Source organism: Homo sapiens (genome assembly GCF_000001405.40).
Source record: "Homo sapiens chromosome 22 unlocalized genomic scaffold, GRCh38.p14 Primary Assembly HSCHR22_UNLOCALIZED_CTG3".
Taxonomy (NCBI): Eukaryota; Metazoa; Chordata; class Mammalia; order Primates; family Hominidae; genus Homo; species Homo sapiens.
In genome coordinates, this window is record NT_187388.1 from 107,153 (window position 1) to 121,195 (window position 14,043).

At 45.7% G+C, this 14,043-nt stretch overlaps 1 long non-coding RNA gene across 5 annotated transcripts; it reads left to right on the forward strand.

The window, feature by feature from the left end:
- The first annotated feature begins 4,720 nt into the window (after positions 1 to 4,720).
- Positions 4,721 to 13,362, forward strand: LOC107987392 (uncharacterized). Of its 5 annotated transcripts, XR_007068548.1 has the most exons (4): positions 4,753 to 5,043; positions 5,129 to 5,209; positions 6,820 to 7,012; positions 9,823 to 13,362. It is a non-coding gene; the product is annotated as an uncharacterized LOC107987392 (long non-coding RNA). The 5 variants fall into 5 exon arrangements; XR_007068549.1 differs by having other exon boundaries at positions 4,721 to 5,209; XR_007068546.1 differs by having other exon boundaries at positions 5,129 to 7,012.
- The last annotated feature ends 681 nt before the right edge of the window (positions 13,363 to 14,043 follow it).

A 14,043-nucleotide genomic window follows, 5' to 3' on the forward strand; every position in this document is an offset into this window, starting at 1 on the left:
AGCTATGACACAAATCTTCCCCATGTACAATGTCCATATGAGCCTTTTGAAATCCTTCAAAAAACGTAGTATGGACAAGGAGAACTAATACAAATATGAGGCTTTTGCCTCCAGGTAAGCAGTAAATAGTAGGTATTTTTTTTCATACTTCAGTGTCTCATGCCTTCTACCAGCATCGATGAAAATGGAAGGTTAATATGTTGTTTACAAATGCTATAAAATCTTAGATACGTCACAATTATTTAATTTTGGAGATGACTATGGCATGCTGAGATAAACACAACTTTCTGAAAGGGGAAAAGGAACAAATACTTGAAGAGCTTGCAAGGGATATGAGAAGTTCCCCCAGGACCAACAGCAAATTCTCTCGGCCAAGTGGTTAGTTTGGTGAAGCAAGAGATCAAGACTCTGCTGTCTGCTAATGAGACTGATCCTTGAGAGGATTATAACAATGAACCTGAGAGCTTTGCATGTTCACTTTTCTCCTGCTGGAAAATCAAGGAGCTCTTAAAGCTAATGTTGAGGTTTGGATGAGTCCAAAACAGTAGAAGTTCATGTGGTTCAGCTGTGAGCAGCAAAAAGACTGCAAAAAGCCACATTAAGCAGGTTTTGTAAGTCTCTCCTTTACCCACATGAAGGAACCCATTCCCTCTGCACTTCTAATTTTTGTCCTTTGTCTACAGCTAACTTCAGCAACTTTAAATATTAAACTACATACGATTGGAGGTTTGGATGGGGGAACACAAATGTATGTAGTTCCTTTGGATATATGTATCTAATTCACCATTCTGTGGAGTCCCTTAGGGTGCACAGGGAGATATAGGTGTTAGGGTGGCTGGAAATGCTGACAAACCTATCATTCTATTAATCCAGTTGCTTCCAGATAATGGAAAGCATGGTAAGTCCACTGACATCCGTGAAGATGAGCACACTGCTACACTTTGGCTGTGAAGTGAGTTTCTTGGTCTGAGCAATGCTAAGTGGAATATCATAGGGATGGATGAGGGATTCTGTGAGTCCATGGAGGGTAGTTTTGGCAGAATTCCACCCAGGGAAAGCAAATTTGTATCCATAGTAAGAGCCTACTCCAGTGAGTACAAACTGTTGCCGCCTATATTATAAAAGTTATTCAACGTAATAAATTTACTACCAGGTGCCTGGTGGATCACCCTGGAAATGATGTCATATCAAAGACTCAGTGTAGATCTGTGCTGCTGTCAAATTAAACATTCAGAATTGACTGTAGCCAGACTGGCCTTTGGGATTCAAAGTTCATATTGCTTAGCCCGTGCATTGCTTCTATTTCTGCTACTATGTTCACCTTGTTTATAAGCCCATTGGGTGATGATGGGGGTGACAGGGAAGTAAGAATGACCCATACTCACGGAACAAGACATTCTGTCCACATCATTATCAAAATCATGCTCTGATACGGTTACCCCTTAGTAGGGATTCATATAGAACAGACATATCTTTATGTAATTTACCCAGTGAGAGAAGTTTATCCACAAAAGTTTTTCTATTTTTTTTTTTTGCCAGGAATTTTGTAATCATGTTCCTTCCGTGTCATTGGTCATGTAGCCAATTCATGGGCCACAGCAGTGTTGCAGGAGTGAGTATCATAGGATCTCAAACTCCTGTTCTTAAGCAATCCTTGCCTCAACCTCTTAAGTAGCTGAGACTATAGGTGCACCCCACAACGCCTAACTAATTTTGTTTTATTTTTAGTAGAGATTAGATTTTGCTATGTTTTCCAGGCTGTTCTCACACTCCCCACCTCAAGCGATTCTCCCAGCTTTGCCTGCAAAGTGCTTTGACTAGAGTCAAACCTCCACACCCAGCACCTATAATTTGATATTTTAAACAATACTATGTAGCGAAAGCAATTACGAAGTTATCTAGGGAAAGAAAGCTCACTATCACAGTGTAAAATTGTATAGATATGATGCGGGCATGTGTGTATACATGCTTGCTTGTGTGCATAGGTGCGTGTTTTCTGAGAAATGGTACCTTATTGCTACCAGGCTAGGATAGCATTCATGTTCTTCTGAAGATGTCAAATATTGAAGCTCCAGGATTCATAGAACAAGATTCCTAAGTGGTTCACGAGAGGGTGAACGATTGAGTAATGGGTATTTTGGAAGAAACAACTGGCCTAGGGACAAGAATAAGTGTGCAAATCATCTGTGTGAAACACGCTTTCTTCGGAGCACGCATTTCATGCACTTCATTCTACTGTGACAGATATTGCTACTCTGAGTTTGGGAGAGATTGAACCTAGGGTCTACTGTGAAACTCTGTAGACTAGACTTCTGTCTGAGGCAGCCCCTGCCTGTAACCGTAACCTGCGCCAAACTCCAATGGAGCATTCTTCTCAATGGATAAATGGAAATTCCGGATGATCCGATGGGCAGAGAGTGCGACTGTTTTTTTCAGGAGCTCTGGTTGAATGGTTTTGGGGACTTTCTGGGAGGATGCTCTGCACCCAGAAAAGTAGTCCAACGGGAATCATGAGAAAATGGGCGACTCCGTGTGCCTCCGTCCCCTCCTACTTCCTCACCCACCCCTCCATCAGGGATCCCACGTATTCCAGGATGACACGTGTTTTAGTTGTCTTTGGGCGACAACTAGCGGCAACCGTTATTGAAAATGTAAGCTGTAGAGAACAAAAAAACTCTGGTCGCCTGTTCACAGCTCACTCACTGCAACGTTGAATCCTGGGCTTAAGCAATCCTCCTGCCTCAGCTTCCTGAGTAGCTGGAAATATAGGCATGTGCCACAATGCTGGGCAATATTTTTAAGTAGTGGTAATCTCTCTCGATGTGTTGCCCAGGTTAGTCTCAAACTCCTGTCCTCTATCCAGCCTCCCACCTTGGTCTTCAGAAGTCCTGGGATTACAGGCTTGAGCCACTGTGCTCACTCCTATAATTTGATGTTTTCAACAATACTATGTAGTGAAATGCATCACGAAGACATTTTGCAAAAGAAAGCTCACTATCACATATAAAGTTGTATACTTGTCATGTGCTTACGTGAGCGCATGTTCTTGCCTGTCTGAATGTTTTCTGAGAACTGATCATCTTTTCCCCAGGGACACTGGTTGAAGAGCTGCGGGGATTGTCTGGGAGGGTGTCTCGGGCCCGGAAACGTAATCCAGGAGAGATCAGAAGACCGGCGACCCCATGGGCCTCCATCTCTTTCTCCTTCCTTGACAACCCCTAAACCAGTGACCCCACTCATTCCAGGCTGGAACGTCGTTCGGTTGTCATTTGGCGTCACCTAGCGGTCACTGTTATTGAAAATGGAGGCATCACACCAAAACTTCTGGCCGCCCGCGCACAGCCAGGGAAAACTGGTTTCTCTCGGGCCCCACCCTGACCTCAGAGGCACTCCTTCTGTCCCTCCCCCTATGCCTTGTTGCCTAGGAAACCTCCACCCTGGCTGGGAATGCTTATTTCTTTATTTATTTAGAGACAGAGACAGTTTCGCTCTTGTAGCCCAGGTTGAAGTTCAATGGCGCCATCTCGGCTCACTGCAACCTCTGCCTCCTGGATTCAAGCGATTCTCCTGCCTCAGCCTCCCCACTAGCTGGTATTACATGTGCCTGCCTCTACTCCCAGCAAATTTTTGTATTTTTAGTAGGGACGTCATTTCGCCATGTTGGCCAGTCTGTTCTCGAAGTCCTGACTTCAGATGATCCACCCACCTCAGCCTCTTAAAGTGCTGAGTTTACAGAAATAAGCCAGGGCGCCTAGGCTATCATTTGTTTTTCTTTCTTCCTTTTTTTTTTTTTTTTTTTTTTTTAGTAAGCATGAACAGTTCTACCTGGGTTTTAAAAATTGTGTGTGTGAAAGAAAAATAAATCTTGAGGCTTCCAAATCACTAAAGTAAAGGGAAAAGTCAAGCTGGCAACTGTTTAGGGCCAACCTGCCATTCTATTCAAAGTCACTCCTCTGCTCTTTTCTCTTTTTTTTTTTCTTTTTTGAGATGGAGTCTCGCTCAGATGCTCAAGCTGGAGCCCAGTGGAGCAATCTCGGCTCACTGCAACATTCGCCTCCTGGTTTCAAGCGATAAATGTATATTTGATTGCCTCCTTTGGAGAGGCTAATTAGAAACTCCAAAGAATGCAACCATTTGTCTCTTAACTACCTTTGACCAGGAAGTCCCCTCCTCACTTTCAGTCTTCCCGCGTTTGCTAATTTGTCCCGCCTTTGCAGACCGAACCAATGTTCATCTTGCATACTTTGATTGATGTCTCATGTCTCCCTAGAATGTATAAAACGATAATGTTCTCTGTTTACCTTAGGCACATGTCCTCAGAACCTCCTGAGGCTGTCACGGGTATGCGTCCTGAACCTTGGTTACGTAAACTTTCTAAATTAACTGAGACCTCTCTCAAGTTTTCAGGGTTCACAACGGAAAGTGCATTGTAGCTCCACCCTAGGGCTTACCATTAAGAAAAACTATCCTAAATCTCTGCAGATACAGTCAAACCGGTTGTATGTAAACTGTATGAAACTAAATGCACTTATTACAAGTAAATGAATAAATGCTGAGAAAAAAAATCATGAACCGCTCACCTTTCAAAGAAGCAATAATACTATGAATTATGTGTAATTTCCAGAGTCAGCTAGTTTCAAAATTGTCCCCACTAAACTTGGAAAGGTTCCAGAGTGAGCTATTGTGTCTCCAGCCTTTGCTCCTCCCCCTTCTTTCCCCTGCGCCCTCCCCTCAACCTTTGCCGGCAATCACATTCTCTGATTCTGCAAAAGCAGGTGGGAGCCCTAGAGAGAGTTCTCGTTTTTTTTTTTTTTTTTTTCTTTTTTGAGATGGAGTCTCGCTTAGAGGCTCAGGATGGAGCCCAATGGAGCAATCTCGGCTCACTGCAACATCCGCTTCCTGGTTTCAGGCGATTCTACTGCCTCAGCCTACCGAGGAGCTGGGTTAACAGGCACCCGTTATTATGCCCAGCTAATTTTTGTATTTTCATAGAGACAGGGTTTAACCATGTTGGCCACGCTGGACTCGAACTCCTGCCATCAGGTGATCCGTCAGCCTCAGCCTTTCAATGTGCCGGGATTACAGGCGTGAGCCACTGTGGCCAGCGAGTTCTCTTTTCTTTGTGAAGGGCAAGGCAAAGTGGAATGGATTCATCTAAAAGCGGAGTGCATGCCCTGGAAAACATCATGGTTAGACCCATGTGAGACAGGTTAGTTTTACTGCGTGTGTTCTCCATGTGTTGTTGCCCATGTGTTGCTACCATGGTAATCCTGCTGAGTATGAGAGGAATCAAAGTTTCACACATTTGGTGTATGTGCTTGACTGAGGAACCAATGGGGTGAAGCTACCATCTGTGGGATTATGACTGAACGCCTCTAAATCAGAATCCCGCCCAGAAGAAAGGATGCAGCAGCGCTGGCAAGACTCGGTTGGCCTCAGATAGCCAGTCCCCAGCCTTTGCCACCGGCCGGAGGCTCCGCCCCGCTGTGCGCCAAGACCTTGCTCCGGTCTTATCATCCTAAAAAATGGGGTGCGGCCCCCCATCCTAAAAAACGGGGTGCGGCCAGAAAGGCGTTTGCTCCCTGGCCCGTCACATAACATGCTTATGGGGAATCTGATACTAAACTATTGGTAAACGCCCTGCTTCTGGGTCAGGGTTTCCTATGGAGCAGAGCAACTCCCTCACTGCAACCTATTGAAAGTCAGCCCTCCACACAAGGGGCTCTCAACCAGTGTGCGGGAAAACTAGCGTTGTGGCGTGTCCTGTATAATTCAGCCCTGGACCTCTACCTTCCTTCTTTCCTCCTTTTGCCCCCGGGGACTTAGTTCCCGGGCCTGCTCAGGCCCCCCGCCCCGGAGCCCCAGGGCATGCAGGGCTGTCTCTCGCGAGATAACATTGGCGTCGGCCGTGCATTTGGGAGGGGTCGTTCCCCAACAGCAGGCTTTCCAAGATGCAGCGCTGGGGGTTGCGAGGTAGGGTTGGCGCCCCTGCTCGATGTTCCACCTCTCTGATTGAGCTTCTTTCTCCCATCCCGCTGGGAATTCCTCCACGAGTTGGGACCGGATTCTTCGAGCCTCGTGCGAATGGCTGAGGCGCGGGTGTCAGAGGTTTTGCCCCTGCAGTCCCTGCCTGAGTAGTGTTCGCGCGATGCCCGTGGGTGGCTGTTGGGGTCACAGTCCCTCTCCCCGCCTCAGGGGTGCTGGGATGAAAGACTAGCTAGTCACTACCCTTGTGTCTTTACTCCTCTTCTCTGTCCGGGTCAACCAGCGGACTGCGGGGAAATGGCTGGCAGGTCTGCCAAGTTAGACGGCCTCAAACCTGGGCCGGTTCTGTGTGATAAGGTTCCAACTGCGTCTGATCGCTTCCCTCCGCGAGCACCACATTTGGTCTTTAGGGTGGACCCTGTCGATTAGATGCTGGCCTTTGGCTTCCCGATCAGCCCGCGAATCAGCCGACTGCGGGAAGCAAGCAACATCCAGTTGACACGGCCGCGGGCTTCTCTGTCTGGAAGACCTGGGACCAGGGCCTAAGGCCCCAGTCCTCAGGTCTCTGGTCGCCGTGCCCACCTGATGTCCGCGGCAAGCGTTGGACTTGACCGTCAACTTGGGATTTCTAAGGTAGACCAGATAACTTTGGTCAGCAGCAGTACCGCCCGCATTCACTAGGTGTCGCTTTTTCCTTGCGTTGTTTCTTCCTCTCCAACTGTTTCCACAGTACTTTCAGTTTCTCTTCGTTTTGTTTTTCTTTTATTTTTCTTGCTCCTCTTTCTACACACTGAAGTTGCTGTTGTTTTACATTTACCTTTTATTTATTTGTAGTTTTTGAGGCAGGTTGGAGTGTAAGAATGCAATCTCGGCTTACAGCCGCCTCGACTTTCCAGGACTCCCTCAGGTGATCTTCCTATCTCAGCCTTCCAAGTGGCTGAGACTACAGGAATCACTTAATTCTGTGATGTCGAAGCTGAAGTGAGCCGTGATGATGCCTTGCCCTCCAGTCTGAGTGTTTCAGAAGGTAAGAGAGACAGGTTAAAGAAAAAAATTCCTTGAAATAAACTGCAATTAACTGTGATCTAAATTACCTTTTATAGTTTTTCACTCCCACGAGTTTGTTTATTATTATTGCTGCTTATTATTTCTTTGTATTATTGTTTGTCATTATTGTTATTGTTTTTATTATTTATGTAATTATTTAGAGATGGAGTCTTCCTCTATCACCCAGAGTGCAGTGCAGTGGCGCGACTTTGGGTCACTGCAGCTTCAAATGCCTGGGTTCAAATTCGCAATATGGCGAAACACCCTGTTTACTAAAATCTGTCAATGACACCTTCAGGACCGTTGGTTGTGGCGGCTGCAATTTCGGAGGCTGAGGAGGGCAGTTCGCTAGAGCTCGGGAGTTCAAGACAGCCTCGGAAACAGACTGCAGAGCATTTGTCTGACCAAGACCCGCTGCAGCCTCCACCTCCCGACCCCAAGCGATGTTCTCAACTCAGGCTCCAAAGGATCTGGGACCACAGGCGCCTGCCATCATAATGCCCGGATTTTTTTCTTTTCTTTTCTTTTTCAGTAGAGACGGGGTCTCACTGTGTTGCCAGGGCTGGTCTCAAAGTCCTAGGCTCTAGCAATTCTTCCAACTCAGCCTCCCAAAGTGCTGGGATTATAGGTGTGAGCCACAATGCCCTGCCCTCTTTTTTATTTCCTTCATTTTTTCTCTTTTTTTCTTTCTCTTTCTTTCTGTCTTTTCTTTTTCTTCTCTCTTTTTCTTCCTCCCTTTTTTCTCTCATTTCTCATTCTTTTTTTTTCTGTTTCTATGTCTTTTGGTTTTCTTTTTCATCTTTCTTCCCTTTACATCTCTGTCTGTCTATTTTCTTTTTCTTGATCTTCCTTACTCTCTCTCTCTTTTCTTCATTTCTTTCTTTCCATCCCTCTGTCTGTCTGTCTTTGTGTGGATTTTGGAAAATTCTCCTTATTCTGTATCTCCCTGTGTATCACAAGCCTCTGTGACTTTCACTTTGTTGTTTTTCCTCCTTGTCGCGTAAAAGGCATTCACTGCTCTTTTATTTTGGTGCTCTGTGGATGTTCGAAGGGTGGGGAAAAAGTGGTCCACGAATGTGATTGGTTTCATGAGAGACACGAGAGACAAAAGAACATATGATGATTACTTCGCTAAATGCCCTGTTTATTCTTTCAACTGCACTCATACAAGTAAGGACGCAGTTGGTGGGTTGAGAGATCTCTGTGTAGTCATGACTCTGCAATTATACTTGACGAGAGCGGTGATGATGAACGGGCGGCATGGAAACCTGCCCTTCTTTGGTGTCAGTTGAGCACAGTGAGAAGAGATTCACAATGGCCTGTATCTCAACCTGATGGTACTGTGTTTCTGCTCTGATCTTTAGGAATGAGAGAAGCATTCCCGTGCATTCCTGCAACGTCCTTGAAGTTTTCTTTTTAAACTTTTCGATTAACTAACGTATTTATTAATTTATTTGAGATGGAGTCTTGTTCTGTTGGTCAGGCCATGGCGCAGTATCGGGCCACTGCAACCTCCGCCTCCCAGGTTCCAGCGATTCTCTTGCCTTAGCCTCTCGAGTAGCTGGGATAACAGGCACGTGCCACCATACCCAGCTAACTTTTACCTTTTTAGTAAAGACAGGGTTTTCCCATGTTGCCCAGGCTGGTCTTGAACTCCAACTTCCAGGAATCCTGTGGCCTCGTCCTCCCAAAGTGCTGGGAGATCCCAGGTCATCAGACTCGAGAAAGAATGTTGGTTGATATAGAAAGGCGAGACACACTGCGCCCGACCCAAATTGCTATTTTTAAAAATAAACCAGTAGGCTGGGTGCAGTGGGCCACTCCTCTCATCTCAGCAGTTTGCTAGGCGGATGTGGGAGGATTACGAGGTCAGGAGTTTGAGACCAGCCTGGCCAACATAGTCAAACTCTGTCTGTATGAAGAATACAAAAATTAACCAGGTGTGGTGTCACACACCTCTACTCCCAGCTACTCTATATGCTGAGGTAGTAGAATCTGTTGAAGCCGGGAGATGGAGATTGCAGTCAGCCCAGATCATGCCACTGGACTCCAGCTTGGGTGACAGAGTCAGATTCCATCTAAAAAAAAAAAAAGTAATTAAAAATAAGTGAGTTTCCAAGAAGAAATAGAAACCCGCAGTGACACAAACATATGCATCTCACCTTTCGAGGCAGCAATGACACTACAAACTTGTAAACTCAGTTCATTTCTTGACTGCGGACCATGGGTATTTGTGATGCTTCCTCTTGGAACATAGTTCTGTGTGACACCATACCCAGCTAACATTTGCCTTTTTAGTAGTCAGAATTTTGCTATATTGCCCAGACTGCTCTTGAACTCATGAACTCCAGGTATCCGCCCGCCCAAAAAAAAGAGTTGTGATGAAAGGAGACACACAGATGGATTTCAGCCCTTAAAATGGTGCATGCTGCCACATTTCACAGATCTTCCCTGGGCCTTACTGGTATTTGCCCAACATAGAAATGCTTTCTAAAAAGTGACAATTTGCTTACATAATATTTCCACAAGCGATGCCTTGGTCTGTGTTTGTTTTTACGTTTTGTTTTGTTTGTAGTTTTTACTTTACTTATCTCTTTTCAGTTGAAGTAGATTTTACCAATTTTAGGAAGATGTGTATTTTCCCCAAAACCTGTTAGCTGGTGTTTTCTTCGGTCATTAAGTAGCGATTTTCGGAATCTCTCAAGGTACAGTGAGAGCCGATTGGTATAAACTATACTTCATAAAATCTTCTTTCCTTTTCATTTTTTTTTTTTTTTTTTTGTCTTTCAGGTGGAGTTTCGCTCTTATTGCCCAGGCTGGAGTTCAGTGGCGTGACCTCAGCTCACCGCAACCTCTGCCGCCTGTGTTCAAGAGATTTTCCAGTCTTCACCCTTTCGAGTAGCTGAAACCACAGGCAAACACCTCCAGGCCTGGCTAATTTTTTTTTTTTCATAGAGACTAGGTAGCTCCATAATGGTCAGGCTGGTCTAGAACACCCAACCTGAGGCGTACCACCCAACTTGACCACCCAAAGTGCTGAGATTAAAGGCGTGAGCTCCGCGTCTGGCCATAACATCTTATCCTATAGAAGCCCAGAGAGGTTAGGTATGTAGTCCCTGAGACCAGCCTTCCTTGGATGAACTCCAAAGTGATGGCTGAGGATTAGGGAGTGTGGGGTGGGGGCTGGAAAGTCGGTCCCCTATTGTTGCTACCTAGGCCATGACATCCCCATACTCCCATCGCCTGCTCACCGTTTGAGATTCCCCCCCACCACCGCCTTGGTGGCTGAACTCTTACTTTAATTTCTGTCTTTCTTCGTTTGTTGGGTTTCAGGAGGGGGTGCAGGAAAGACGGTGTGCGTGGGGAGGGGGTGTAGGGTGGGGATGGAGGGGAGCGTCCTAAGGGTCGATGTAGTGTCATGCCTCTTTCATCACCACCACCGAAGATGAAACAATAATCATCTAAATACCGCGTGTTCTCACACATAAGTGGGAACTACATAATGAGAATGCATGCGAAGAACTAGGGGGACGAGAGACGCAGGAGCCTACCTGAGGGAGGACGTGTGGAAGGACAGACAGCTTCAGGACAAAGCAAAACGAGCAGAACACAAAAACTGTAGGGGACTGCGCTGAGAATCCGGGTGAGGAAATCATCGGCACACTGAACCCCCTACTCAGAAGTTTACCTATGAAACAATCTTGCACATGTATGCTTCAAAAACAAATAACAGTTAGGGAAGAAAGAGAGAGAGAGAGAAAGAGAGAGAGACAAGTAAAATAAAGCACCACCTCCTTGACCTGACTCAGGGCGTTTGGGGTCTTCTGGGGAAATGTTCTGAAACAATGGAGTATTTTGGTCTGTTCTTTCTTGTGTCTTTTTTTTTTTTTTTAAGACGGACTCTCGCTCAGCCACCCAGGCTGGAATGCAGTGGTGCACTGGGTTCACTGCAGCAAATATCTCCCGGGTTGAAGCGATTCTCCAGTCTCATCCTCCTGAGTGGCCGGGATTACAGTCACGCGCCATAATGCCCTGCTAATTTTTGAACATTAGTAGAGAAGGGGTATTGCCATGCTTGCGACGCTGGACTTGAAGGCAAAATGAAAATGAAAATGAAACGCAACAAAATAATTAAAAAGTGAGTTTCTGGGGAAAAAGAAGAAAAGAAAAAAGAAAAAAACAACAAAACAGAACAACCCCACCGTGACGTACACATACGCCTCTCGCCTTTCGAGGCCTCAAACACGTTAGGAATTATGCGTGATTTCTTTTTTTAACTTCATTTTATGTTATTATCGTGATTGATGTTTCGAGACGGAGTCTCGGAGGCCCGCCCTCCCTGGTTGCCCAGACAACCCCGGGAGACAGACCCTGGCTGGGCCCGATTGTTCTTCTCCTTGGTCAGGGGTTTCCTTGTCTTTCTTCGTGTCTTTAACCCGCGTGGACTCTTCCGCTCGGGTTTGACAGATGGCAGCTCCACTTTAGGCCTTGTTGTTGTTGGGGACTTTCCTGATTCTCCCCAGATGTAGTGAAAGCAGGTAGATTTGCCTTGCCTGGCCTTGCCTGGCCTTGCCTTTTCTTTCTTTCTTTCTTTCTTTATTACTTTCTCTTTTTCTTCTTCTTCTTCTTCTTTTTTTTGAGACAGAGTTTCACTCTTGTTGCCCAGGCTAGAGGGCAATGGCGCGATCTCGGCTCACCGCACCCTCCGCCTCCCAGGTTCAAGCGATTCTCCTGCCTCAGCCTCCTGATTAGCTGGGATTACAGGCATGGGCCACCGTGCCTGGCTGATGTTTGTACTTTTAGTAGAGACGGTGTTTTTCCATGTTGGTCAGGCTGGTCTCCCACTCCCAACCTCAGGTGGTCCGCCTGCCTTAGCCTCCCAAAGTGCTGGGATGACAGGCGTGAGCCACCGCGCCCAGCCTCTCTCTCTCTCTCTCTCTCTCTCTCTCTCTCTCTCGCTCGCTTGCTTGCTTGCTTTCGTGCTTTCTTGCTTTCCCGTTTTCTTGCTTTCTTTCTTTCTTTCGTTTCTTTCATGCTTGCTTTCTTGCTTGCTTGCTTGCTTTCGTGCTTTCTTGCTTTCCTGTTTTCTTTCTTTCTTTCTTTCTTTCTTTCTTTTGTTTCTTTCTTGCTTGCTTTCTTGCTTGCTTGCTTGCTTTCGTGCTTTCTTGCTTTCCTGTTTTCTTTCTTTCTTTCTTTCTTTTCTTTCTTTCTTGCTTGCTTTCCTGCTTGCTTGCTTTCGTGCTTTCTTGTTTTCTCGATTTCTTTCTTTCTTTTGTTTCTTTCCTGCTTGCTTTCTTGCTTGCTTGCTTTCGTGCTTTCTTGCTTTCTTTCTTTCTTTCTTTCTTTCTTTTGTTTCTTTCTTGCTTGCTTTCTTGCTTGCTTGCTTTCGTGCTTTCTTGTTTTCTCGATTTCTTTCTTTCTTTTGTTTCTTTCCTGCTTGCTTTCTTGCTTGATTGCTTTCGTGCTTTCTTGCTTTCTTGTTTTCTTTCTTTCTTTTGTTTCTTTCTTTCTTGCTTCCTTGTTTTCTTGCTTTCTTGCTTGCTTGCTTTCGTGCTTTCTTGTTTTCTTGCTTTCTTTCTTTTGTTTCTTTCTTGCTTGCTTTCTTGCTTCCTTGTTTTCTTGCTTTCTTGCTTGCTTGCTTTCGTGCTTTCTTTCTTGCTTTCTTTTCTTTCTTTCTTTTCTTTTTCTTTCTTTCTTGCTTTCTTTTCTTTCATTCATTCATTCTTTCTTTCTTTCCTTTCTTTCTTTCTTTCTTTCTATCTTTCTTTCTTTCTTTCTTTCTTTCTTTCTTTCTTTCTTTCTGTTTCGTCCTTTTGAGACAGAGTTTCACTCTTGTTTCCACGGCTAGAGTGCAATGGCGCGATCTTGGCTCACCGCACCTTCCGCCTCCCGGGTTCGAGCGCTTCTCCTGCCTCAGCCTCCCGATTAGCGGGGATTACAGGGAGGCACCCCCACGCCTGGCTTGGCTGATGTTTGTGTTTTTAGTAGGCACGCCGTGTCTCTCCATGTTGCTCAGGCTGGTCTCCAACTCCCGACCTCCTGTGATGCGCCCACCTCGGCCTCTCGAAGTGCTGGGATGACGGGCGTGAGCCACCGTGCCCGGCCTGTTGACTCATTTCGCTTTTTTATTTCTTTCGTTTCCACGCGTTTACTTATATGTATTAATGTAAACGTTTCTGTACGCTTATATGCAAACAACGACAACGTGTATCTCTGCATTGAATACTCTTGCGTATGGTAAATACGTATCGGTTGTATGGAAATAGACTTCTGTATGATAGATGTAGGTGTTTGTGTTATACAAATAAATACACATCGCTCTATAAAGAAGGGATCGTCGATAAAGACGTTTATTTTACGTATGAAAAGCGTCGTATTTATGTGTGTAAATGAACGAGCGTACGTAGTTATCTCTGTTTTCTTTCTTCCTCTCCTTCGTGTTTTTCTTCCTTCCTTTCTTCCTTTCTCTCCTTCTTTAGGTTTTTCTTCCTCTCTTCCTTTCCTTCTTTCTCTCTTTCTGTCCTTTTTTCCTTCGTGCTTTATTTCTCTTTCGTTCCCTGTGTTTCCTTCTTTTTTCTTTCCTCTCTGTTTCTTTTTCCCTTCTTTCCTTCGTTTCTTTCCTCATTCTTTCTCTCTTTTTCGTGTTTCTTTCCTTCCCGTCTGTCTTTTAAAAAATGGAGTGTTTCAGAAGTTTACTTTGTGTATCTACGTTTTCTAAATTGTCTCTCTTTTCTCCATTTTCTTCCTCCCTCCCTCCCTCCCTCCCTCCCTGCTCCCTTCCCTCCCTCCTTCCCTTTCGCCATCTGTCTCTTTTCCCCACTCCCCTCCCCCCGTCTGTCTCTGCGTGGATTCCGGAAGAGCCTACGCATTCTGCCTCTCCGTGTGTCTGCAGCGACCCGCGACCGAGTCCTTGTGTGTTCTTTCTCCCTCCCTCCCTCCCTCCCTCCCTCCCTCCCTCCCTGCTTCCGAGAGGCATCTCCAAACACCCACGCGCCGTGGGTTGTCTTCTGA